Source organism: Homo sapiens, chromosome 6 (assembly GCF_000001405.40).
Source record: "Homo sapiens chromosome 6, GRCh38.p14 Primary Assembly".
Classification (NCBI taxonomy): domain Eukaryota; kingdom Metazoa; phylum Chordata; class Mammalia; order Primates; family Hominidae; genus Homo; species Homo sapiens.
The window spans coordinates 52,184,083-52,211,584 of record NC_000006.12 but is presented as its reverse complement, the minus strand read 5'-3'; the positions used below and the strand labels follow the sequence as shown (position 1 = coordinate 52,211,584).

Below are 27,502 nucleotides of genomic sequence, written 5' to 3'. Positions count from 1 at the left end.
GAAAGGCAGACTGGTCCCAACGCAAGAAGGAGGTCTTTTTTGGGAAAGGGCTATTATCAATTTTGTTTCAGAGTCAAACCATAAACTAAATTCCTTCCCAAGGTTAGTCCAGCCTATGCCCAGGAATGAACAAGGACAGCTTAAAGGTTAGAAGCAAGATGGAGTTGGTTAGGTCTGATCTCTTCCATTGTCATAATTTCCTCAGTTATAATTTTTGCAAAGGTGGTTTCAAAAGCAATGGGCTTGGCACTTGCTAAGTGTGTCTGAATGGGTTCATGTGATGGATTGGGTGATTGAGGCTGAGAGAGCTTAAGTAATTTATTCAAACTCACAGGGTTAAATAACAGACAGAGCTAGGATTTAAACCCAACTTTAGCCAGAACTGTTCTGTCCTTAAAGCCCTAGGGCACAGTGTTCAGGGTTTATAAGCTTTTCAGATCCCAAAACATGCTTGAGGATTGGAAAAAGAAACTAATTGGATTCAAAATGCCAAAGTAAGCCAACAATTATCAAAATGAAGTTAAACTACATACTTTTACAGAATGAAATATCATGTTAGTCAACTGTAATTTTTTTCAATTCAAATAATTATTTATGAGTAATGCTAATTGTTGGATGTGAATGCATTTTTATGATTAGTCTAATGTGCATGGGCCTTCAAAAGAGTGCCCAAGGCTTTGGAAAGCTGTAAAATGGACCTATTTATGCACCCCTACTTCTGGAGAAGCTGTATCTTTTGTCTTTTTTGAAGAACTTTTATCTAAAACAAGCAGGCTGGAATAAGGAGGAGAAAGAGAAAAAGAAGGAGGAGAGAAGGGGGAAGAAGGGAAAGAAGAGGAGGAGAAGGAATGGTAGGCATTATCTACCCTAGAGAGATGGCCTTGTTTCTTTTTTACTGCCATAAGTGCCTAATATAAAACATGCACAGATTTAGCACCCAATGAATACTTGAAATAATGAGAAAACTCATCAAATCAGCAAAAAACATTATTACATTGAATTTTTCAGTTCCTTGTGCTGGTGTTTGATTAGGGCCAACTAGAAGGCAGCAACTATGGTGCAGGCTGACCTCCAAATGGGATGCAAATCCATGCAGAAGGGTAGAGGGGCCTTTGCAGCAGAAAAGGAAACCTACCCCGGCAGCAAATTCAAATGTGAGGCAGCAGATGTTATCTTAGCTCTCTCTCAGTTGGGTCACCTTCTTCCTGTTCATACTTCACCACCACACTAGTGGCAAGTCACAATTCCCCATTGGTCACTTTATACATAGTATAGCCAGTTACCCAGCTGATACAATAAAAAAACACGGTAACAAGCCACATTTATTGAGCATTTTGTACACCCTGGCACTATCATGTTACCTCAATTAATTCTCAAAATAAACTTACTTTTTTTCCCTACTGCTATCTTTATTTTTATGATGTAAAATAGAGGTGCAGAGACATCATATAATTTGCCTAAAGTCACGAAATTACTAAAGCTAACACCAGATTTTGATCAGTTCTGAAACACTCGAAAATGAAGTTTATGTACTCACCATATGCTTGGCTGCCTCAAGTTTTTAGTGATTTAGAAAAGGCTTCTTTGCTTTTCTAATTCACCTGCTGCTGATGCATGTCCCACCATAAGAGTAATTCTAATATTTCTTAGTAATTCTTTCATTTCACTCTGGAAATGAAAATGTGTGAGCAGTGATGATACATTTAATGTACACCATTCATGTCATAGTATGATCAGAAACCCTCCTGCAAGGCAGCTGAGGAAAAGATACAGAGAGAATAGAAAGCTAGATTTGATGAGCAGAAGTAAATAAAGGGATGCTTTTGAAATGAAGGAAGAGCCCCCGTTTGTCTTACAATTGCGTAAACCAGTTTGAATTTTAAATATTCTTTCCATTGCACCCCAAATCACTGAATCTATCCTGAAAGTTTCAAACTTTGAAGTTTATACATCTTCGTCTCAAGTTCTCCTCTCCCAGTGTGGCCCACAGACCCCTTTTATTTTTTTCATGAGACAGGGTCACTCTGTCACCCAGGCTGGAGTGCAGTGATGTGATCATAGCTCACTGTAGTCTCAAACTCCTGGGCTCAAGCTATACTCCTGCCTCAGCCTCCAGAGTAGCTGGGACTACAGTTGTGTGCCAGCTAATTTTTTATTTTTTGTAGAGATGGGGTCTCCCTATGTTGCCTAGGCTAGTCTCAAACTTCTGGCCTCAAGCTATACTCCTGCCTCAGCCTCCAGAGTAGCTGGGACTACAGTTGTGTGCCAGCTAATTTTTTATTTTTTGTAGAGATGGGGTCTCCCTATATTGCCTAGGCTGGTCTCAAACTTCTGGCCTCAAGCGATCCTCCTGCCTTGGCCTCCCAAAGTGCTGGGATTACAAGCATAAGCCACTGTACCCAAGCTCCACAGATCCCTCATGTCTTAATGTACTTTCCCTTTGGAAATATGGTCTCAGTTAGCAAGGTAAACTGCAGTCAACAGCCAGTTGACAAAATGCTGGGGAAAAGGATCACTGAATGGGCCAAAAGAAGCTGGATTTCATCTCATTCACAAGTTTATCCAGAGCAGGCCTGCAGTAGGTCTATAAGACAGGGCTTCTTGGTGGACACTTTGAGAATCTTTCAGAGCCCAAAACATTGATACTCAGGGAAAAAGGCCATCCTCCCACCGTGAAATCCAGCCGGGTGTACTGGGTTCACAGGTGGGGGTATGAGCCACACTTGGAGGTGGGGCAGCTGTAGAAATGTGGGAAGCAAGGATTTCCCTTGGCCTTGGGATTTGTTCAAGGTGGGGCCTTTGTTTTCCCTCCAGGAAATTAGTTCAGACTTTCTGGCTGGTAGCCTGGAAGAAGCCTGCAGACATGGCCTTCCAACCATGCAACCTGAAGAAGAAGGCGGAGAGGAAAGTTGGTGAGGTCCATGACTCAGGAATCCATCAAAGGTATGCATTTCTTTTTTCCATTTTTTTGTTTCAAAATTTATTTATTAAAAAATTTTATTAAAATTGTATTTTTAACTTTTATGGATACATAGTAGGTGCATATATTTATGGGGTATATGAGATGTTTTGATACAGGCATGCAATATATAATAATCACATTATGGAGAATGGGGTATCCAACCCTTCAAGCATTTATCCTTTGTGTTATAAACACTTGAATTATACTCTTATAGTTATTTGAAAATGTACAGTTAAGTTATTATTGTCCATTGTCTGTTATGCTATCAAATAGTAGGTCTTATTTGTCCTTTTTGGTTTTTTGGTACCCACTAACCATCCCCACCTCCCCCCATCCCACTCTACTTCCCTTCCCAGCCTCTGGTAACCATTTGCTCTTTATGTCCATAAGTTCCATTGTTTTAATTTTTAGGTCCCACAAATATGTGAGAACATTGTATGAATTTCTTGATGTTGCAGACAAAGGGAGGGAGGCCATGAGGGCTAAATATGATAACCTAAGGAACATGCCTGGCATATGGAAGGGCTTGTAAGTGTGGGGCTTCTGTATTTCATCTTTCCATTTGTCATTTATGCTTCAATCGTAGTGCTTTTAAACACAAGGAAAACTTGCTGGCAGAAAGGTCAGCCATAGAATAAGAGCTGGGGAAATAAGAGAAAGAAGGAAGGTGAGCTCGTGGGTTTCAAACATTGCTGAGAGAAGAGTAAGGTGAGGACTGAGAAATGACCATAGAATTTGGCAATATGATAGTCATTAGTGATGCTAGTGGGAGCTGTTTTGAGGTAATGACAGGGTGAGAGCTTGATTAGAGTGGGTGTAAGTAATGATATTTTAAAATCTTTCCCAATTTGAGAGGTAGAAAATTACTATTACTATCCGAGCATTTCAGTTCATGGTATTTTGATATTTAAAAGCTTCTGAACCCAATTTCCTCCTGTGTCCCCACCTCTGCCATGCCACCATAATTTTTTTTTGATCCTGTTGGATTTATTTGTCACTTGAGACACCCCAAGGCTCAGGAAATGATGGAGATGGGACAGTCGTGATTTCATTTGATCAATAATCCATTTGGAAAATTTATGTCTCTAAGTAGACTTGTTGAGTCCTTCAACATGAATGGTTACTTAATAGTGACATAGAACACAGTATATGTGGCTCCAGGTCTTTAATCCTAGGGTGCTGATGTTGACAACATAAAAAGATGAAAGCATATGTTTTAGCATTGCTTTGTGTGTATGAGATCTTTTTCCTGATATCTGAAGATGAAGCTTTGTTTTTAAAGTATTTGCTAGATTTTATAGTTTTCTTCCAGTTTGACTAGGTTTTCACTTTACCGTTTGTCTATTTGAGTATGCTGCCACCAGGGGATGCAATAGCCTATAGACATGGTGGCCTGTTTTTGTTTCCTCTTTGTTATTTGGACTGAGGTTTTAGGTTTCAGATGTTGATTCTGTCTTGGAGCCATTTTTAAATAATCTCATTTTTTCCATTCATTGGAATGAAAATGAAAATAACTTATTTAAGAATGAAAATAACTTGGCCGGGAGTGGTGGCTCACGCCTGTAATCCCAGCATTTTGGGAGGCTGGGGCGGGTGGATCACGAGGTCAGGAGATCGAGACCATCCTGGCTAACATGGTGAAACCCATCTCTACTAAAAAATACAAAAAATTAGCCAGGCGTGGTGGTGGGCGCCTGTAGTCCCAGTTACTCGGGAGGCTGAGGCAGGAGAATGGTGTGAATCTGGGAGGTGGAGCTTGTAGTGAGCTGAGATGGCACCACTGCACTCCAGCCTGGGCGACAGAGCGAGACTGTGTCTCAAAAAAAAAAAAAAAGAAAAAGAAAAAAAAAAGAAAATAACTGAAAATAACTTATCAAAATAACCAAACAATAATTCTTATTTATTTATTTATTTCAGATGGAGTTATGCTTTTGTTGTCCAGGCTAGAGTGTAATGGCAGGATTTTGGCTCACTGCAACCTCCACCTCTGGGGTTCAAATGATTCTCCTGACTCAGCCTCCCCAGTAGCTGGAGTTACAGGTGCCCGTCAACCATACCTGGCTACTTTTTTGGATTTTTAGTAGAGATGGGGTTTCACTGTGTTGGCCAGGCTGGTCTCAAACTCTTGCCCTCAGGTGATCCACCCACCTTGGCCTCCCAAAGTGCTGGGATTACAGGTGTGAGCCACCGCACCAGCAATAATTTTTAAAGCTGCCAATTTTCGGATCATGAACAGCACTCCCCATTTTAAAATAAATAGATGATCATATAAAATAAGAAATTATTGAATGGGCAAAAACTGGAAGCATTCCATTTGAAAACTGGCACAAGACAGGGATGCCCTCTCTCACCACTCCTATTCAACATAGTGTTGGAAGTTCTGGCCAGGGCAATTAGGCAGGAGAAGGAAATAAAGGGTATTCAATTAGGAAAAGAGGAAGTCAAATTGTCCCTGTTTGCAGACGACATGATTGTATATCTAGAAAACCCCATTGTCTCAGCCCAAAATCTCCTTAAGCTGATAAGCAAATTCAGCAAAGTCTCAGGATACAAAATCAATGTACAAAAATCACAAGCATTCTTATACACCAACAACAGACAAACAGAGAGCCAAATCATGAGTGAACTCCCATTCACAATTGCTTCAAAGAGAATAAAATACCTAGGAATCCAACTTACAAGGGACATGAAGGACCTCTTCAAGGAGAACTACAAACCACTGCTCAAGGAAATCAAAGAGGATACAAACAAATGGAATAACATTCCATGCTCATGGGTAGGAAGAATCAATATCGTGAAAATGGCCATACTGCCCAAGGTAATTTACAGATTCAATGCCATCCCCATCAAGCTACCAATGCCTTTCTTCACAGAATTGGAAAAAACTATTTTAAAGTTCATATGGAACCAAAAAAGAGCCCGCATCGCCAAGTCAATCCTAAGCCAAAAGAACAAAGCTGGAGGCATCACACTACCTGACTTCAAACTATACTACAAGGCTACAGTAACCAAAACAGCATGGTACTGGTACCAAAACAGAGATATAGATCAATGGAACAGAACAGAGCCCTCAGAAATAACGCTGCATATCTACAACTATCTGATCTTTGACAAACCTGAGAAAAACAAGCAATGGGGAAAGGATTCCCTATTTAATAAATGGTGCTGGGAAAACTGGCTAGCCATATGTAGAAAGCTGAAACTGGATCCCTTCCTTACACCTTATACAAATATCAATTCAAGATGGATTAAAGACTTAAACGTTAGACATAAAACCATAAAAACCCTAGAAGAAAACCTAGGCAATACCATTCAGGACATAGGCATGGGCAAGGACTTCATGTCTAAAACACTAAAAGCAATGGCAACAAAAGCCAAAACTGACAAATGGGATCTAATTAAACTAAAGAGCTTCTGTACAGCAAAAGAAACTACCATCAGAGTGAACAGGCAACCTACAAAATGGGAGAAAATTTTCGCAACCTACTCATCTGACAAAGGGCTAATATCCAGAATCTACAATGAACTTAAACAAATTTACAAGAAAAAAACAAACAACCCCATCAAAAAGTGGGCAAAGGACATGAACAGACACTTCTCAAAAGAAGACATTTATGCAGCCAAAAAACACATGAAAAAATGCTCATCATCACTGGCCATCAGAGAAATGCAAATCAAAACCACAATGATTTTGTGAGAGGATGTGGAGAAATAGGAACACTTTTACACTGTTGGTGGGACTGTAAACTAGTTCAACCATTGTGGAAGTCAGTGTGGCGATTCCTCAGGGATCTACAACTAGAAATACCATTTGACCCAGCCATCCCATTACTGGGTATATACCCAAAGGACTATAAATCGTGCTGCTATAAAGACACATGCACATGTATGTTTATTGTGGCACTATTCACAATAGCAAAGTCTTGGAACCAACCCAAATGTCCAACAATGATAGACTGGATTAAGAAAATGTGGCACATATACACCATGGAATACTATGCAGCCATAAAAAATGATGAGTTCATGTCCTTTGTAGGGACATGGATGAAATTGGAAATCATCATTCTCAGTAAACTATCACAAGAACAAAAAACCAAACACCACATATTCTCACTCATAGGTGGGAATTGAACAATGAGATCACATGGACACAGGAAGGGGAACATCACACTCTGGGGACTGTTGTGGGGTGGGGGGGAGGGGGGAGGGATAGCTTTGGGAGATATACCTAAGGCTAGATGACGAGTTAGTGGGTGCAGCGCACCAGCATGGCACATGTATACATATGTAACTAACCTGCACAATGTGCACATGTACCCTAAAACTTAAAGTATAAAAAAAAAAGAAATAAAAAACAAACAAACAAACAAACAAAAAAAGAAATTATAAAGAAAAAGTAAAAATTGTCCATTCCTCTTACTGGAATTTTACATATTAGTTTTCTGTTTTTTTCAATGTCTTATTTCAAATGCTATGGAAGTTTTATTCACAGTTTTGTCTCTCTCTTTATATGTTTTAAATTATTTTGTTATGATAACTTTCTAGACGTGTAATTACTGGGCCAGAAAGCATGAACACTTTTAAGGCTCTTGAATTAAGTTATAAAATTGCTTTTCAGAATGTTGTACTCATTTATACTTATTAGCAGTGAGTAATTGCTCAGTTTAGCATATTCTTGCCAATGCTGTTTACTACAGTTAAAAAACAAGTTTTACTAATTTGATAGACAAAAGATTGTTACATTGAAGCTAAAAAAAAAGATTGTTACATATGAATTTGTTTATTAGTGATAATATTTATCCATGTGCTTCTAAGACATTTTTATGCCTTATGTTACATAAACTGTTTATTTGTATCTTTTGTTCTTTCAGCAGGTGTTCTTAATGCTTGTGTTATCAATTATCGTGGACTTTTCATATTCATTTATTCATTCAACAAATATTCATTGAGCACCTACCATGTGCCAGATACTGTTCTAGGCACTAGGGACACAGCATTGAACAAAGCAGACAAAAATTTCTGCCCGCATGGAGCTCTCATTCTGGTGGAGAGAGATAGACAAAAACAGAATAAATAAATTAAATAGATATGAGAAGGACATGAATGTCACAGAGAAAAATAAATTTGGGAATTTGGAAAGGGAGTGCCAGGGTGGCCAGTCAGAAGTAGCTCCCTGAGAAGGTGACATTTGCACAAATGAAGGGAGACAGTTGTTCATCAGGCTGTCAGTGGAAGAATGTACCTGGCCGAGGGAAGAGCAAGGAGAAACAACAAAGGCTGCGAGATGGGATTGTGTTTAGTATTCAGGTTCATAGTTCATACCCTGGATATTAATCACTTGCAGCATTTGTGGCAAATATTTTTTCAATTTGTTGTTAGCCTTTCTATTTAATGTTTAACATACAGACGATTTACAGTTTTGTGTAGCTAAATCTATTGTTCTTTTTCTCTGTGGTTTCTTCCCCAGCTTTAAAAACTTCTAATTTTAAAGTATTTCATATATGCAAAAAATGACTGAAATATACAAGGGATTTAAAAATTGGAAAAACAACAAACCCAAACACCAGACAGCACAGCATGCGGGTTGGGAAGTGAAACCTTGCCAGAACCTTGAAGCCCTGGTGCCCCTTTTTTCTCCCTCTTTTTCCTCTAGGAGGAACCACTATCCTGACTTTTGTGTCCAACTTTTCCTTGCTTTTCTTTATAGCTGTATCACACCTGTGTTTCCATCCTTAAATGATATGTTGCTCCTTTGCCTCCCAGTTCAAGTGGTGTTCCTGCCTCAGTCTCCCAAGTAGCCATGACTACAGGCACGCACCACCATGCCCAGCTAATTTTTGGCTACTCTCGAACTCCTGACCTCAGATGATCCACCTGTCTTGGCCTCTCAAAGTGCTGGGATTACAGGCATGAGCCACTGTGCCTGGCCTTGTATCTCTTTTTTCAATGAATTGTCTACTTCTGCCGTTTACCCATTTATTCTCACTGAGGTTTTAGTATTTATTAATTTAATAAATTCTTTGTAAAAAAAAATGATATGTTGCTTAGTTTTGAAGAACCAAATGGGCAAACACAAACCCAGCTGGTTAGGAGACGGCAAGGTTCCCACTGTTAGACGAGGCTCCCAGGAGCTGAGCTGCTTCCTTTATCTTGCTCATAGTCTGGCTTCAGCTTTTCTGAGATTTTACAAGAGCACTTTCTGGGGAGATAATGAGGAAGACTTGGGGGAACACTGAGGGCTATGGGGCAGGGCCAGTGAAGAAGACCTGGCCGGCTTCACCCAGAATCCAGTGTAAAGTTCTATTTGGGATGCATCTGCTCTTCCAGGGACCTCCTTTCCCAGCTCCCCTACATCTGTGAGATGAAAAGGAGACTGAGTTCTGGAATCCCCACATGGAGGAGACATGCCCACTAGGAACACCTCACTTGAACTATTATGTGGGTGAGAAACTTCTGTCTGGGTCTGTCCTTCAGCCCTTTAGCCTACCTTAACTGAAAATGCAGGTTCTTAATTTCCACCCGAAATGGGGTCAAAGTGAGCAGGGTGCTCTGCATTTTCCGTTTCTGAACATACCTTACTTAATTTCTGGTTTTCAAAGGTAAGTCCACACAGATATTTTGGTGGTTGAAGGGGAAATGAGTGCCTTTAATCCAGGCAGTGGGGCAAGGAGAAGATAAGAGGAAATTCATCAGCTTATAACCAAGGGAAGCTAAGGACAGGTAAGAACCTTGGATAGGCTTACCTGGCCATTCTGTCCTCAGATTCACAAAACCATTCCATGGCTTCAGGGGTATTGCTCAAACATCCTTTAACATGTCTGTCTCTTGAATCACACAGCTCCAATCTAGACTGGGTACTCTCAACTCCTGGTGCAGCTATCACCCTGGGATCTCCTTTGCCATCCTGGAGGGAAATTCCTTATTCTCCTTCCTGTGTTGACTCTGTTTCCTGTACTTCATATCTTCCTATGTCTTGGTTTACTATCTTGTTTTGATGGAGCACATCCTCAAGTAGTTTCACAAGAAAGGTTGCATGGGAGGCAAATTATTTGAGATCTTGCTTATCTGAAAATGTCTTTTTTCTCCCTTAGTCATATAGTTTCATGATGTGTTTGGAGTTTTATCTTGGAAATAATTTTCCTTTGGAATTTTGAGTACATTTTTCCACTCTGTTCTAGGTTCTAGGGTCATTGTTGAGAATTCTGAAGGTATTCTGATTCCTGGCCCTTTGTACCTGATCTGTTTTTCTCCAAAGAAGCCTGTAGAATTTTCTGTTTGCCTTCAGTATTCTGAAATTTCACTAAGATGTGGCTTGGTGTGAGTGCTTCATTTAGACAGTTGATGAGTCTTTCTCTGGCAACTCATATTCTTCAGTTCTGGGGATTTTCTTTCATGTGTTTAGTTACTGATTTCCTCTCCTCCATTACTCACTGTTTTACTCCATTACTCACTTTCTATTCTGATATACAGTAGTTCGTCCTGGATAGGACCCCTGATCTTTTCTCCCATATTTTAATCTTTCTGCTCTACTTTTTGGAAGATGTTTTCAACTTTCTCTTCCAGGATTCTATTGACTGTTTCATTTCAGTTATGATGTTTTTAATTTCCAAGATAATCTTTTTTTATTTTTGATATTTCCCTTTTTAAAGTAGTATCCTATTTTGATTTCAAGGATCTTCTCTATCTGAGGATATTAATTATATTTTTGAGGCTTTTTTTTCTTGCATACTTTCTATTTCCTCCTAATGCCCTTCCCTTTCCCTTTCCCTTCCCCTTCCCCTTTCCTTTTCCCTCCTCTCTCCCCTCCCCTCCCCTCCTTTCCTTTCTGTTGTGGGAAGTCAGGATGTTGTGGGAAGTCAGGGACCCCGAACGGAGGGAATGGCTGAAGCCACGGCAGAAGAACATAAATCGTGAAGATTTCATGGACGTTTATTAGTTCCCCAAATTAATACTTTTATAATTTCCTATGCTTGTCTTTACTTTAATCTCTTAATCCCGTCATCTTCGTAAGCTGAGGATGTATGTTGCCTCAGGACCCTGTGATGATTGCGTTATTTGTACAAATTGTTTGTAAAACATGTGTGTTTGAACAATATGAAATCTGGGCATCCTAAAAAAGAGCGGGATAACAGCGATTTTCAGGGAACAAGGGAGATAACCATAAGGTCTGACTGTCTGTGGGGCCGGGCAGAATAGAGTCATATTTCTCTTCTTGCAGAAAGTGAATAGGAGAAATATCACTGAATTCTTTTCCCAGCAAGGAATAACTCTGGGAAAGGAATGCATTCCCAGGGGGAGGTCTATAAATGGCCACTCTGGGAGTGTGTCTTATGAGGTTGAAGATAAGGGATGAAATACGCCCTGGTCTCCTGCAGTGCCCTCAGGCTTGCTAGGATTAGGAAATTCCAGCCTGGTGAATTCTAGTCAGAACGGTTGTCTGCTTTCGAACTCTGTTTCCTGTTAAGATGTTTATCAATGACAATGCGTGCCTAGCAGGACATGGAACCTCATCAGTAATTCTAATTTCACCCTAGACTTGTGATCTTGCTCTGCCTCTCTGCCCCTGTGATCTTTTATTGCCCTTTCAAGCATGCGATCTTTATGACTTACTCCCTGTTTGTACCCCTCTCCCCTTTTGAAATCCCTTATAAAAACTTGCTGGTTTTGCAGCTCAAGGGGCATTACAGAACTTACCAATAGGTGATGTCACCCCCGGAGGCCCAGCTGTAAAATTTCTCTCTTTTGTACTATTTCTCTTTATTTCTCAGACCGGCCGACACTTAGGGAAAATAGAAAAGAAGCTATGTTGAAATATTGGGGGTTGGTTCCTCCAATACCTTTCCTTTCCTCTTCTCTTCTTTTCTTTTTTCTTTTTTGAGACAGTGTCTCACTTTGTTGGCCAGGCTGGAGTGCAGTGGCACAATCTTGGCTCACTACACCTCTGCCTCCCAGGCTCAAGCATTCTCTTGCCTCAGCCTCCCGAGTAGCTGGGATTACAGGTGCACACCACCCAGGCTGGCTAATTTTTGTATTTTTAGTGGAGATGGGGTCTCACCATGTTGGCCAGGCTGGTCTTGAACTCCTGACCTGAGGTGGTCCACCTGCCTCAGCCTCCCAAAGTACTGGGATTATAGGCATGAGCCACTGCACCTGGCCTCCTAATGCCCTTTTCTGTTTGTTTATTTTTGTATCTGTCTTCATGTTCGATTTTCTCAGGGGTCTGCTCAAGATTAAAATAAAAGCTGATGTGGGGAAATTTGGGGATTCAGTGTGTGTGGGGAAATTTGGGGATTCTGACCTTCACTATGGGGTGATCTGGGTGGGCCATTTGTGGGGAGCCCCCTCTAAATATATTTAGGCTTTTCCTTCCTTTAGGGATGATCAGATTCTTCAACCTCTTGCCAGAAGGAAAAGGTCTTGTTAGAGTTATGGAAACTGAGGAGTAAAGGGGCCTGAGGGTGGGATCATCCTTGGCATTCAGAATCTATATGACCACTTGATCCTTCTGTTTTTGGTGGTCCCACACCCTCACCCATGCTGGTAGACCCCAATCCAAAGGCCCTCTGTTTTACCCTCTTCAGAGATAAACTGCCAATTTTCTGGTAGAATTGGGAGGAGCATTTGCCTAGCAGTGGAGTGCTGGGAAGAAAAGTTGGGGATTGAGTTGTTGCTCAAACAACTTTCACACTGGCCCTCTAAATCTCCCTCTTCCCCCTGTATTCTCAGCTCCTGCTCTGCAGAACCTGGTGCTGCTAGGGCCTTAGCCTTTGGAGAATTGATGGCGTGAAATGGGCTGGTCCTCAGCTTCCTGTCTGCCAGTTTAGGATTTTTCTCTCACTTCTGTAATCTAGCTGAAGTTCTTTTGAATGCATGATGTAATGGACAGCTATACTTTGATTTTCTCTCTCTTCCAAATAGTTAACCAATAAAGAAACCCAAATCTATTCACTAAATAATTCCTCATTATACCATTTTGTGATGACAGTTTACTTTTACTATATTTTAGATTCTTCGTATATACCCATGGTATATTCTGAGTTATTTAATTTGTTCATTGAGTTTTCTATTCTCACATCTCATTATTTTTTAAAAATGCCAACTTTAAACTGTTTCACTCCCTGAGGACAGGTCTCTGATGATTTAAATCTTCTCAGAAGAGTTTTAGAAATTTGCTACATTACCGCATTAAACCTTACCAATAAGAATTTGTTTGGTATTGCATTAGACACAGAAACAAATTAGAAGCTTGGCATGGTGGAGTGTGCCTGTAGTCCCAGCTACTCAGGAGGCTGAGGCAGGAGGATTGCTTGACACCAGAAGATCTAGGCTGTAATGGGCTGTGATTGTGAAGTGAATAGCCACTGCATGCCAGCCTTGGCAACATAGCAAGACCTTGTCTCTAAAAAAGAAAAAAAAGAGAAAATAATTGTTTTCTTTTTTGTGCATGTAATCTTGCCTTCTGTGAACATTGTATTTCTGACCATTTATTCAAGTTATTTAAAGTAATTCATTATTTCATAGTTCTCTCTATATACGTCTCTCTCATATTTTAATAAGGCTATTTCCAGGTATTTCAGTCTTTTGTTTTTCCGTAATGGATGATAATTTTTGCGTTATGTTTTTAGACTTGTTATTACCACTATACAGGCAAATGATTTAAAAATATTTATTTTGTAGCTAGCCAGTTTCTGAGCATTCTCTAATGGTTTTCCTCTTGATTTACTCATTTTTTTTCTCTAGGTATGTAATGATATTCTCTGCAAATAATCATAATTTTGTGTCTTTCTCTCCAATGTTTGTTTCATTACTGGGCAGGACTTCCACACAATGTTAAACAATAATAATGTCTCTGTATTAAAACTTTTTTTTGCTATATTTTGACTTAAACATTTAAAAGTTATCCTGTGCATAAATTTTATCAACTTTTTTTCATTACCAATCTAAATCTTACCAAAATGATGTAACATTTCTTTCCCATTTAATGATTCTAAATTTATGTTTTCTGATATTGATGTTATCTTGATTTCTGCTAGTATGCATTTGCTTGATATATTTCTTTGCCTACCCCTTTATTTTTAAACTTTCTATGTTATTTTAAGGATAGTGTGGAGTTAAGAAATTGGGATATTTCTTAATTTTTAAAAATCTAAAAATACTGTGGAGTTAAGAAATTGGGATATTTCTTAGCCTTAGTGGCTTATAGGCATTAGCCACTGCACCCGGCCTAAGCACTTAATTTTTTAAAAATCTAAAAATATCACAGTATTTTTAGGATACCACTTTGGGAGGCCGAGGTGGGCGGATCACAGAGTCAGGAGTTTGAGACCAGCCTGACCAACATGCTGAGACCCCATCTCTACTAAAAATACAAAAATTAGCTGCGCGCAGTGGCTCATGCTTGTAATCCCAGCACTTTGGGAGGCCGAGGTGGGCGGATCACGAGGTCGGGAGTTCAAGACCAGCCTGGCCAACATAGTGAAACCCCGTCTCTACTAAAAATACAAAAAATTAGCTGGGTGTAGTGGCGAGTGCCTGTAGTCCCAGCTATTCGGGAAGCTGAGGCGTGGTGACCAGTGCCTGTAATCCCAGCTACTCGGGAGGCTGAGGCAGGAGAATCGCTTGAACCCGGGAGGCAGAGGTTGCAGTGAGCCGAGGTTGTGTCATGCACACCAGCCCCTGGACAGTGTGAGACTCTGCCTCAAAAAAAAAAAAAAAAAAAGAAAAAGATTAGCCAGGCGTGGTGGTGCATGCCTGTAATCCCAGCTACTCAGGAGGGTGAGGCAGGAGAATCACTTGAAACAGGAAGCAGAGGTTGCAGTGAGCCAAGATCACACCACAGCAATCCAGCCTGGGTGACAGAGTGAGACTCGATCTCAAAAAAAAAAAAAAAAAAGTACTTAAATTTGGGACTCTGTTCTTCTTTTTTTTTTTTTTGGGACGGAGTCTCACTCTGTTGCCCAGGCTGGACTGTGGTGGTGCGATCTTGGCTCACTGCAAGCTCTGCCTCCTGGGTTCACGACATTCTCCTGCCTCAGCCTCCTGAGTAGCTGGGACTACAGGCGCCCACCACCACGCCCGGCTAATTTTTTGTATTTTTAGTAGAGGCGGGGTTTCACCCTGTTAGCCAGGATGGTCTCTATCTCCTGGCCTGGTGATCCGCCCACCTCGGCCTCCCAAAGTGTTGGGATTACAGGCGTGAGCCAGTGCGCCCAGCTGGACTCTGTTTTTTAATAGGAGAATTACAAATATTTACTCATATTGTCTCTTGTTTATGTTTTCTGTGCTTTTTTTCAGTTTTTTTTGTTTTGGTTTTTGAGCATTATTTGGTTTCTTTAAATCCAATTTGTTTTATATATATATATTGATGGTTACCTTTAGATTTTTAGCCTTATTTATCACATTAGGTCACTTTTAAATTGTCTACTTATCAAAGCCAAGAATGGAGCAATAACTTGATTTTACTCCACTGAGGCAGAGGAATTTCGTGATTTCTACCCTGTCACTCCTTTCCACCCTTATTTTTTTTTGCTTATTTTGCTGAATCTTGGATTATGGACTTAGATGATGGTTATTATCTCGAGTATGGACTTAAATGATGGTAATATCTTAAGTATAGTTATATAATATTATTGTATAGGTTAAATAATATCATTTAACCTATAATTTAGATATTCTTTTTTAGCAAAGAATTTGACTTTAAGATTCATGTAAAGAATTTATAATCATTATTTAGATATATTTCAATGTAGACCCAGTTTCAGTGCTCACAGAGGGCCCATGACTGATTCATCTTAAATTCTCAGCTTTGATTCATCTCTCAGTCAGAGGTGGGGAAATGGCTCACACGGTTATGGAGGCTAAGAACTTCCATGATAAGCTGTCAGAGATGCTGAAGATCCAGAGAATCCTGAAGCATGGCTCAGTCCAAGTCCCAAGGCCTGAGAACCATGAAAGCCAATGGTATAACTCTCAGTGTGAGGCTGAGACCTCGAGGTTCACTGGCACAAACCTTGGAGTCTGAAGGCCAGAGAACATGGGGTTCTGATGTCCAAGGGCAGGACAAGATGGGTATCCCTGCTCCAGAAGGGAGGGAGAGAGGGAGGCAGAGAGAGAGAGTGAGAGAGAGAGAGAGAGAGCAAATTTGCCTTTCTTTTGCTTTTTTGTTTTATCTGCACCCTTAGCCGATTGGATGGTGCCTATCCACATTGGATGATGGTGGATCTTTCTTACTCAGTCCAATGATTTAAATGCCACTGTCTTCTGGAAACACATTCACAGACATACTCAGACGTAATGCTTTACCAGCTGTATTCTGTATTAGTCTTTTCTTATGCTGCTATAAAGAACTATGTGAGACTGGGTGGTTTTTATAGGAAAGACGTTGAATTGACTCACAGTTCTGCATGGCTGGGGAGGCCTCAGGAAACTTACAATCATGGTGGAAGGCTAAGGAGAAGCAAGCCACATCTTACATGGCGGCAGGAGAGAAAGAGAGTGAAGGGGAAACTGCCAGACACTTTTAAACAATCAGATCTCTTGAGAACTCACTCACTATCATGAGAACAGCATGGGGGAAATCACCCCCATGATCCAATCACCCCTCACCAGGTCCCTCCCTCGACACGTGGGGCTTACAATTTGAGATGAGATTTGGGTGAGGACACAGAGCCAAACCATATTACCAGCTATTTGGATATCCCTTAATCCAGTCAAGTTGACATCTGAAACTAGCAGTCAAACGTAAGCAGAATTTAAGCTATTACATACATACAGAAAAATGCACAACCCATAAGTATGCAACTCAACAAAATATTACACATTTATCATTCATTGGGTTGTCAAGGAAGACTTGCCTGAGCAGATGCTGCCTGATCTTTACTTTCTCCCTTTTAGTGCTTTGAAAATTTTACTTTATTACCTCTCAGTGTTATGTAAAAAAGTCTGATGTCAATATAATTTTGGTTCCTGATGAGATATTTTATATATTCCTTCCAGATATGAGTCTTTTATGTTCTTTATTTTTAAAATTAAAAAAATTGTTGAATATGTTTTGGTTATAGCCTTTTAAAATTAATTTGTCTAAACCTAGTTTTCAGATGCACTTAAATTCCAACCCAGGAATCTTTTTTTTCCCATTAAGACTTTCCTTATTGTCTCCTTAATTTTTTCAGGTTTCTTACTTGAAATTTCTTTTTTTCACATAATTTTATCTCTGTTCCCTATCTTTATCTAAGATCAATTTATATATATAATTTAAATAATATATAATATAAAACATATAATTATATATGTAATATATAAAAATATATAAATATATTATTTAAAAATATATATTATATAAAATATGCAATATGTATTACATATTATGTATTATATAAAGTATATTATATATTATATAAAATATATATTACATAAAATGTATATTATATATTTATAAAATATATAATATATTATATAAAATATATTGTATAATATGTAACATATATTATATATAAAAATAATGTATATAATATATATATTTTTAGACGGAGTCTCGCTCCATCACCCAGGCTGGAGTGCAGTGGCGTGATCTCAGCTCATTGCAACCTCCGCCTCCCAGGTTCAAGAGATTTTTGTACCTCAGCCTCCCAAGTACCTGGAATTACAGATGTGCACCACCACGCCCAAATAATTTCTGTATTTTTAGTAGAGATGGCATTTCACCATGTTGGCCAGGCTGGTCTTGAACTCCTGGCCTCATGTGATCCTCCCATCCTGGCCTCCCAAAGAGTTGGGATTACATGTGTGAGCCACCGTGCCCAGCCCCAATTCATATTTATCATCAATGTATTTCTTTGTTAATCTTCATCTGTATTCCGAGATAGCATCTCTAGCTGCTTCTCCATCAGTGGTTCCCAGAGGCTGGTCAATGGATGGCTGCTGGAGAGGATGCATCAAAATCAACTGGGGAACATGTTAAGAATGGTTCCTCAAATTCCATCTCCAGAGATGTCTTTTTGCTTAATCTGATTTTAAAAAAAGTGTTGATATTTTCATCAGTTTAATGATGATGAGAAATGGGAAGACTAAGGCTATTCCAGGTAAGCAGGAAGCATAAGCAAAGTCCCAGATTGTGAGAACCAGTTAGGCATGGCATTGATACTGGTAACAGGGAGGGAGGATGGTGGGTTGGAATACTGTGAGAGGTGGACTGGGCCAGGTCATAGAGTACATTCTGTGTCATGCAAGAGAATTGGCAGTACTTTATCTTATAGGTATTGGGGAGGTACTGAGGAGTAATTAGGGGATTAATGTGATCAGATTTACATTTTAGAAAGGACCTCTTGAAACATGGGGAGAGATGGAAGAGTGACAATTGCTGTGTAATTTCAAAACACAGGTGTGCAGCAGTTAGTTGTGAGGTATGTCCCATGTGGGTTGTTTTATAGTGTGTTAATAGCCAAAGTTTGTAAAGGTTCTTTTAAAAAAATTAGTGTAGATTCAAGGTTATTTTTACAATAATGTCACTGTTACTTGCACCCTAGACCTTCTTCCACCAGGAAGTGGCCATGTAACAGCTCAGCTATTTAGAATTATGTGACTGTGGGAAGATGTCATGCATGAGCCTTCATTCATCATATGTGTGATGGCAGAAGTAATGCTATGTGTCCACTAAATCCCATTTCATTTTCTTTTTCATGGACCCATAGAAATATTTCATTTCCCAGTCTCCACTGGTTTTAATTTGGGTCTGTGTGACTGAGTCCTGGTCAATAAGACTGGCCCTTAAATGCTGAACGTGTAGTTTTTAGCTTTCTCTTTTCCTTCATTGGTTATATGTCCATCAGAAATACAATGCTAAGCCACATTTTAATTATATATTTATTGTAAGCACATTTAAAAAAGTAAAGAGAAATAGATGAATTTTTAATAAATTTAATGTTTAACCAAATACATTTTAACATTTATCAATATAAAAAGTAACAAAAGATATTTTACATTAAAAAAACTTAAGTATTTTAAATCTAGTATGCATTTTACACTTATAACACAACTCAACTGGGACTAGCCACATTCCAAGCGCTCAATAGTTACAAATGCCTCGTGGCTACTGTGTTAGACATTGCAGTGCTAGATGGTGTTGTAGAAGTCAGAACCTCTGTGTCAGCCTGGGTCTCTCAGTGGCCAAGTAGAGCAAAGCTCCCTAATGATCCTGTTGGATTGTAACATGCACAAGAAACAAACCTTTGTTTATTTGAACTTTGTCTGTTGCAGAAGCTATTAATTACCTACTCTGACTAGACTCCCTTACAAGTTTGAGAGATACCGAATTATTAAATATAAGAAGCAAGGCAGAGAGGCCAGTTAGTGTCATAATATAATGCAACTGTAATAGCAAACTTGGAGTTAGCAAGGAAGGGGAGGACATGTGAGACATTGATGAAGAGTTGGTCACTGATTGGAGGAGGGGAATGAGGGATGGAGAGAAAGCTAGGTTTCTTGCTCAGATGAGTAGACGATGCCATTCCAGTAGATAAAAAAGCAGTAGGAGGAGCCAGTTTGGCAGTAAAGCTAGCGAGCTTAGTTTTGTCTCTGTTGATTTTGAGGTGTCTGTGGACTATTGGTTCAAAGTTCAGCTGAGTATTGACTGTCTACTACCTGCCATGTCAGGTGCTGATGTTTCTGCTCTTGAGGAACCACAAACTGGCTAAATAGGTAAAGCTGATATAGTATGTAAGGTCAGTGATAAAGGATCTGCACAGTGCTTTTGGAGCCCGTAAGAAAGAGAGGGACCTAATCTAGGATAACAGGCAGTGATGGGTCCAGGAGTCTCCTTAGAGAAGATGAGACCTAAAGAAAGTTTTAATATGTGAGTAGAGCCATAGAAATGGGGGAGAGTGGGGAGGGCAGCGTGTGACTGGAGGGATAGCAGGGGGAAGGTGGCAAGGGCATTCACGCAGAAGGGACCACATAGCATAGGCATCAAGGCCAAGAATAGCATGGTGGTCTCCGCAACAACTTCACCACGACTCGAGGGTAAAACGTCAAGGATGAGGCACCCTGGGATAGAACAGGAGAGGGAGCAAGGCCAGATTTCTGGGGGGCGCTTTTTGTTATATTTGAATTTGTGTCATAGGTACAGGTCGGAGGATGGATTGAGAGAAGGGAACAATGGCAGCAAGAACAGGTGGAAGGTTGTAGCAATCATGGAGGAGAGAAATGAGAATAGATGCAGTCCTGAACCTGGGTAGTATGGTATTGGTGGGGAGGTGGGGGTTCCTTGGAGAACTTTTGGAAGTGAGAATATAGTATTTGGTGATATGTGGATGTTAGGAATGAGGGAGAGGCAGAAGGAAAAAGATTCAGGGAAGCCACATAGATTTCTAGCTTGGATGACTAGGTACATGGTAGTGCTAACTGGGGAAAATGAAGAGAGAATAAAAGCAAAGTGTATCAGGGGAGGAGTACATGGAAAGCAACTGCCTCTTCCCATCCGCATACCCCCCACCCAAAATCTAGTGGGAAATAATGGTTCAGGACCACACACACACACACACACACACATATAGACATATACATCCTTTACAACTCCCTCTCCCAACAAAAACAAAAACAATTTTTTCTTTTCATCATCACCGTTCAGAGAAAGCTTGAAAACGAGCAGCAGGTTTTTAGTGAGAAGCTTGAAAGCGTAAAGGCTGTGAGGAACTGTCCCTGGAAGCTGCCTGGGGATTTCCTGTAGGAAAATGGTGACAGGGATGGTCACAGGAATCAAGATGTGAGCACAAAATGACTGAGAGGAGGTGGCTGGAGAGGCCAACCCCTGGATTTGGAATAGGGAAAGAAGCCTAGAAAAGCCATGGGCCTCTGGGTGGGCTGGAGCACACTGGATGGAGCAGGATGGAGTGAAGAGGAAGGTCTTTCAAGAAGCAGGGAGCCTGCAGAGTGGCCTGAGAATATCTAGAGGCCTTCAGAAGTAGGGCAAGACAGCACATGGGCCATGGGGGCGAAAATGGTTACGATGTGAAACTTGAAACTACTCTGGAATTGAATGTGATTGAGTTTTTATTTTACTTGGGCTGAACTTTTCTCATACTTAAAGTTCGTTCTGCCCCATCAGCTCCTTTCTGGGTTGTGTGGTGCCTTGATCAGACAGAAGCCAGGCCCTAGGAGTGTTGCTTGAGGAAGAGAAAAATGTTGGTCTGTTGATCTCTGAGGGGCCTTAATCTCCAAAGGAAGCCTGAGTCTAGGGGAGAAACTGGACATTGTAGTCTGAAGACAATGTCTCCTCCCAGAACTTCTTGTATTTTGGGGAGGGTTTCATTTTCCCCATATGATCTTTAATAATGACATGCCATTCCTCAGGGCCATTATCTTATTTGCTCTATTCCTATCAAAATGCTTCTGTCTACAGCATTGGCTAATAGTATGAAAACCTTAGTCGGTGTTCAGTCTTGAAGGCATGTGAAATCGAGAACTTGGAATTTTGGGTATTTCCAGGTCATTGTTACTCAAAGACATGCTTTGTTTTGCTTATAGGAGAATTTGCATAACTCTTCCCAATAGGGAAGAGCTGAGTTTGCTAAAATACATTTAATGAGAACAAATAAACATTTTCTTTTGAAACTTTATTATTACAGAAGGATTTTATTATAAGGGTTTAATGGAACAGAGAGTTAGACTTGCTGTATCTCTTGTAAAACCTCAACAAATTGCAAAATTTAAATTAATACATATGAAAGTAGGTTTAATCTTTCTTTTCAGCCATGTTATAACTTTTAAAAACAAAGAGGAGGAAATACTATATCCGTATGTTGTAAAGACTCAGAAATTTTGCACTGCCATTTAATTCTATCTTACATTTACCTAGGCAGAACTGATAATAGTGCTTTTTCACCTTTTTCTAAATACTTAAACATAAATAGATCCTTAAATAGCTCAAATAAATACAGGTTTTACCTTTTAAATAATAAAATTCCCAAGCCCAGAATCTTATCTTCTTTAAAAAGACAAACAAAATAAAGTAGGTAATTCATTAAAATGGAATCTTATACCCCAAAGTTATCTCAGGGCATATTAAATACATAAATAACTTAAAGCCCTTAAAAAAGTAAACAAGAAGCAAATTGGTACTCAGTCAAACCTTCCTTCTTGGAAAGAGGGAAAGGTAATTCAGATCTCATATCTTGGCCAAGTGTTACCTCTGAAGCTTTAATTGGACAAACTGCCTTAAGAACTCTAATGAGTTTAGTCCGAAATGAGGCTGTCTTTGAAGGATGAGGGTTCCTGAGGGGCTGGGTCGGCTCTCCATAGTCTAACTGCTTTGGGGAGTGTGGGCTCCCCAGAGCTCTTAGGCCACATGGTGGACAATCGGGGTGACACAGGTGCAGCCCACGGACACCAGTATCTTCTCCAGCCGGAAGGAGTTGGGGCAGTGTGGAGGCTCCCTGCGCAGGACCAGGATCTCTTGCTGGATGGGGACAGAGTTCATGTGGTAGTCCACGTTCCCATCAGCGTTGATGCAGCCCAAGTGGCGGCACTTTGCCTCCCAGATCACAGAGGGATATCTCTCAGGGTCCTCATTGCGGCTGCAGAGGGGAGAAAAATCAGGAGGAAAGTGAATTCCTGGTAAAGTGGGAAAGAAATAAAACAGGAATACATGAAGAGAGGCAAGTTCACAGGATGACAAATTATAGGCATTGCAAATTCTTTAAATGATGTTAGTTTGAAGAAGAACTTTGGGGACAAATTGGATTTTTTTTTCAAGCACGTGAATTGTTATAGAAAAGAAGACAGTGATCAGTTTTTCTCCAATTTATTTGAAGAATGAATAAAATAAGATAGACTGAGGCCACAGAAAAAATTTAAGTTTGACACAAATGATAGCTTTTTTAGGGTACATTTGACAGACAGAAGAAGACCAAAGGAAGAGTAGACTTGGAACCATCTAGAATAAGATAGCTGTTTATTTGACTTGATGAAGTCTGTCTTTGAAGAGGGAATACATCAAAATTTTATCTGAGATCACATTCGTGGGACAGAGCCCAGAGCTGAGATAAAGGGCTGGAAACAAAAGGTTAAGTGTCTCTATGACCTTCTCTTCCCTCTCTCTTTTAGATCAGTGAATGATTTGCTTGCATTTTTGAATTGATTTATTTTGACTCTTCCTAGTAATGGGAAGAAGAGAAGAAATCCTACAATCAGACCAATCTGTAGGCTCCACAGAACAGAGACTTATTTGTATGAAGTCAAATGATCAAAATACATTTGGTATTTAACCCTTGATGGGGTCTAAATACTGGGTATACTAAGGATACAGCAAGCATAGGTATGTTAGGAAGTAGATCAAGACTATTTAACACACAAAGGGGTAGAAATACCCCAGTGATACTTATTCCACTGGGATTCAAAAACAAAAATAAGCAAAAGAATAAAAGTAAAAAACCCTAATTATTAATTATTTGCAATAAATCTTCTCAATGGCAGCTCTGGTTAAGATAATAAAAGCATTAATCCTCTTTGATAAATGTCTATTCTTTGAATAAATAAAGAATAGACTTGGGGTCTCATAAATATTAGAATAATGATTATAATTAATTTGGGTTGATTATTGGTGTCAGTGACAATTAGATCTAACAGGATAGGGATTATTGGAGGCTGTCCTGTGCTTGGTTAAAGAAATCTGTAGAAAGTTTGAGAATTGCTCTTCACAGTGGTCCTTCCAGGTTTGACTGGTAATTCTAAATGAATAAAATCATCCTCAGGGAGATTTAACTGGCAGTCTGATGCATAAGAGGGATGAAGAATATAGCATTTTTATCTGGAAGCTTTACGTACTGGAGATTCCAAGGTGAGGTGGATCGGTTGTAGTAATCTGAGGACCTTTTGGGATTGGTATTGGTATTCCGGTTATGGATGTTCAGGTTGACCATCACAGTCCGGGGGAAGTTCTTGTCCTCAGAATTTGGGCATCCTGGATTTCGTGGGATTGTGATTCCTGCCTTCACTATGGCCTCCAGGCTCAGCAGCAGTAGCAGTGACTAGAATTGAATGGGAAAGGAGAGAGAGGTTGGAGATTAGATTACTATGTGGTTCTTTTTGACAAATTAATTGTGATGATGATGCATTGCTAATCATAGAGAACACACAATGTTCCAGGACAATCTATACTACATTTTTCAGATCAGCTAGAGAAAAATCTAGGTAGATGACCAACATAATGTTAACACCATGGCTTTAAAATTTTTTTAAAAAAACTAGTTTCAACATTCTCCTTTTGACTTAGGAAAGACATGTTATCCATTGGTTGGCAATAATTTTAATAAAAATGTCAAGTCATGGCATGTCATTAGCCTATCAGCACATGCATCATTGTCAGGTCTGGGAAGGAATAATAACCTTGATTTTCTAGGTAGAAATATCCTCCTGCACCATTGTTCTCAGTCCCATATTCTGTGAAACTCATCGTGAAGTCAAACATTCACATTGGAAGAAAGAGCTATAGAAAATCTATGTGGTATCAATATTCATGCTAGAAGTGCTGTTGGTGCTACTGGCAGGCATCCAACTAAAAACTCGATCTCCTTCATGTTTTCTTAGGTATATTTTCCAGTTGTTCTAAATTTAACATGTATTGATTCTGTAATAAAATCAGATTTCAAAAAAGATACTTGAAGTTAAATATTTAAAAAATATAAACCCCACTTATTCTAAAACACAGTTATACCTATGTTTAGTTAGAATACATAGTTTCAATGTACTGAGAATATGGTACGAGATAATGGAAACAAAGGTTGTTGCTGCTACGGCTTTCAAAATCTCAAGGATAGTGACCCATTTTAAAGAAAAATGCCGTGGGAGAATTATATTAAATCCTTTGTACTCAGAAAAACAGACTTTCAATAAATTTTCTTTCTTACTGCACAGCATCATGTGACACTTCTTGTGTGGTTTAGCCCCAATATAGCTATCTTTCAGTTTTAATCTTATCTTTCAAACTGCTGTGTATCAGTTCTTGAAAATGCTGCACAATGACTTAAATACCTACCAAAGCTTTCATTTCCTATCCTACATATACAGTATTCCTGGATCTCCATAGTCAGAACCCAGCGTTTCATGCCCACGGTCCAGAAATACTATCTGGTCCAAATCAGCAAGAGCATCGCACGTTAGTGCAGGACTCACCACCAATGAGGTCTTCCCAGGAGTCATCGTTGTTTCTTCCAATCAACTGGGGATGGATGAGTTTGTGCCTGCTATGAGATGGACAAAATGTAGCGCTATCGTCTCTCTTTTTATAGGGCTTTTCTCCTTCTGTGGTCACTTACGTGGCGTGTCGCAGTGGGTTCAGGGGTGACACCATTTTGGTTAAAATTTCCGCCCCCAATGAGGTCATAGAAGAATCTCTCCTTCTGAAGGAAAATGGGAAGGGCAGAAATTCATGTTCCTAAAGACCATGTCCTCTTTTCATTCTTACTTGTTAGAAGCTGAGCAGAGCTGCTATGCTATGGGTCAATATCATGTATTTATGAACATATGTACAGCTGCCAGAAGAGTTATGCTCTATTTTAATGGTTCATGAGGAAGAAAAAGTTTGAAGTAACATGTAGGTCTTCTGGTGTCATGTACCTTGATTTTCCATTTGATCTTTCTTTTCCTCACAGATTCCTTGGCCAGGTGTTGTGGAGACAATTCCGGAAACTACTCAAGTTCCCATCATATAAGTAAACAAAAAATGAAAAAAATATTTAATAATAAGATATATCCTATTTAATTGAATTTAACAATTCTTTTGTTGAATATCTACTCTGCTCAAGGAATAAATAACTAGGTTCAAGAGACACGAGATTTTCTGTTAAAGGCATGTTCCAACCCTGCATGCTACCAAGCAACTTGGTGTTTTGAGGAAGGAATTGAAAATGGGGATAGAGACTGGACAAAGGTGATGGAGATGGAGAAAAGGGGGGCAGGGGGGAGTAGAGAGTGATGAGAACTAGAAAGGAGAGGAGACATGATGGGGGAAAGAGAGAAGGAGTTAGCGGTTCTTTTCTCTGTACTCTAAGTAAGATGAACTTGGACTCAGGTCCTTGAGAATAGTTCCTTCTCAGGAATACAGAGGACTAGGACAAGGAAGGGCCAGTGGATATAGATGTGGCTGGCTATATGTCACCCTTCTCCGCCCCTACCCCCACTGAGGTGAATGATAACTCTCAGGCACTCAGCTGGTATCCCATATTCTACATGCTAACTCGGGGGGAGGCTGGCCAGTAGTTCCAACTCAATGGCTGGAGTGTAAAATTAGTTTGCCGGATCCTGAACCTGTTTGTCCTGAGATCCATTCCTCCCTGTCCTGCTCTACCTGTAACTCAGAGGGCTGACCCTGGAGGCTGCTTGCTCAAACTCCCCTGTCAGCTGGGTTTCAGCTAGGCTCAGCCAAAAGGGAATTGGAGGACAGATGAGTAAAAGTGGGAAGTGGAAAGTGGAAAGTGGGGAGAAGCCAGGAGCTTCCTTCCTCAGTCTCCCAGAGGACTGCTCACTCCCTTTGTCCCTGCAGCCTTCAAATGGTAACAGCTTCTTGCTGATGGCAATCTCAACTACCAGGGTGACTAGTTCTCTGACTTAAACTCCCTCTGTTGCAAATGCCTGAAGGGGCTTCTCTTTCCTGGCCAGATAAACCCTGGCTGATGAATGAGGGAGGCCATAAGCACCTGAATTTTAGTGGCAATAGTAGATATCCTTGATAGGTGAAGCAGATACAGATGGAGGAGGAGGTAGGATACAGCTTCAAGTGATTTCCGTAGTCCTGGTTTTGGCATCACTATCTATGTGCTTTTCAAGACAAGATTCAGAATGAGCCCTACTGCCCCTCCTCTACACACGACCAGGCAGCAATCCCAGAAGCTGCAGCATCTCTCACATCACCAATTTCCAAGCTTCCTCTAACTCACACTCTCACCCACTTGGATGAGCTATGCTTGCTTTTCCCAATTGCTTCCTTCAGACCATCTTCGACATGCTTTCAATAATGATTCTCAAAGCATGGCTCTAATTGTGCCTTTTCTTCTGCCATTAGCTTGCATACAGAATGAAGGGTAAGCCTCTTAGCATTTGAATTAATATTTGAGTTCGTACAACTTCCTTTCTAGCCTTACCCCCCACCATGCTCCAGGACCTGGGATGATGGGGTCCTGATTTTTCTCCAGGCCTTCTTTCAAAGCTTACCCACCCTTTGTTAAGGTATTGTTTCTGAAATGCCCTTCCCCATCCTCAGGTTATCAAAATGCTACTTGTCCTTCAAAATCCTGTTTAAATGTATCTCACAGGTCTGGCCTGATTACCTCAGTTGAAATAAATAGTTCCATCCATCACATGTAGCTTACACCTACCTCTCTAGTAACTTTTCTTTCATTTTGTAATGTGTTTCATTTGGCTTTAAAAGCTATGGGTAAGATATGTGTTTATTTCCATGTTTAGATTTTACTGTCAGCCTTCAAGGCTAGTATGTTCTTCAACTTTGTGACTCCTATGGTGCCTAATGTGGCCCTTTATACAACATGGGTC

At 40.0% G+C, this 27,502-nt stretch overlaps 1 protein-coding gene and 1 long non-coding RNA gene across 3 annotated transcripts, besides 2 other annotated features; both read right to left on the bottom strand.

Annotated features, from left to right (window-relative positions):
- Positions 1,242 to 1,311: an enhancer, noted in NCBI's record as "active region_24666". NCBI's record gives its function as "activates an Ori minimal core promoter by ATAC-STARR-seq in GM12878 lymphoblastoid cells {active_cell/tissue: GM12878}" and the evidence as "EXISTENCE:reporter gene assay evidence [ECO:0000049][PMID:35858748]".
- Positions 3,345 to 10,094, bottom strand: LOC102724327 (uncharacterized). 2 transcript variants are annotated; one of them, XR_427954.2, is made up of 3 exons: positions 9,706 to 10,094; positions 7,920 to 8,003; positions 3,345 to 3,603 (listed from the first exon to the last, which is right to left on the bottom strand). It is a non-coding gene; the product is annotated as an uncharacterized LOC102724327 (long non-coding RNA). The 2 variants fall into 2 exon arrangements; XR_007059608.1 differs by lacking the exon at positions 7,920 to 8,003 and having other exon boundaries at positions 9,706 to 10,092.
- Positions 8,459 to 8,628: an enhancer, noted in NCBI's record as "experimental_92072 CRE fragment used in MPRA reporter constructs". NCBI's record gives its function as "activates a minimal promoter by MPRAs in K562 erythroleukemia cells, with activity observed for both the introgressed and non-introgressed 6:52067840 variant alleles {active_cell/tissue: K562}" and the evidence as "EXISTENCE:reporter gene assay evidence [ECO:0000049][PMID:34662402]".
- Positions 20,947 to 25,210, bottom strand: IL17A (interleukin 17A). Its single transcript, NM_002190.3, has 3 exons — positions 25,127 to 25,210; positions 23,780 to 23,982; positions 20,947 to 22,530 (listed from the first exon to the last, which is right to left on the bottom strand). Exons 1-3 carry the CDS (start codon positions 25,151 to 25,153, stop codon positions 22,293 to 22,295), a joined length of 468 nt encoding a protein of 155 aa, NP_002181.1. The 5' UTR covers positions 25,154 to 25,210; the 3' UTR covers positions 20,947 to 22,292.

Bases quoted from the DNA above. Each gene is read 5' to 3' on its own strand.
- IL17A (NM_002190.3), bottom strand. From the start codon at position 25,153: ATGACTCCTGGGAAGACCTCATTGGTG. The intron at 23,983-25,126 runs GTGAGTCCTGCA...ATTCAATTCTAG, and splicing joins CTGGGAAGACCTCATTGGTG to TCACTGCTACTGCTGCTGAG. The intron at 22,531-23,779 runs GTACGTAAAGCT...TCCCCTCTGCAG, and splicing joins ACCTCACCTTGGAATCTCCA to CCGCAATGAGGACCCTGAGA.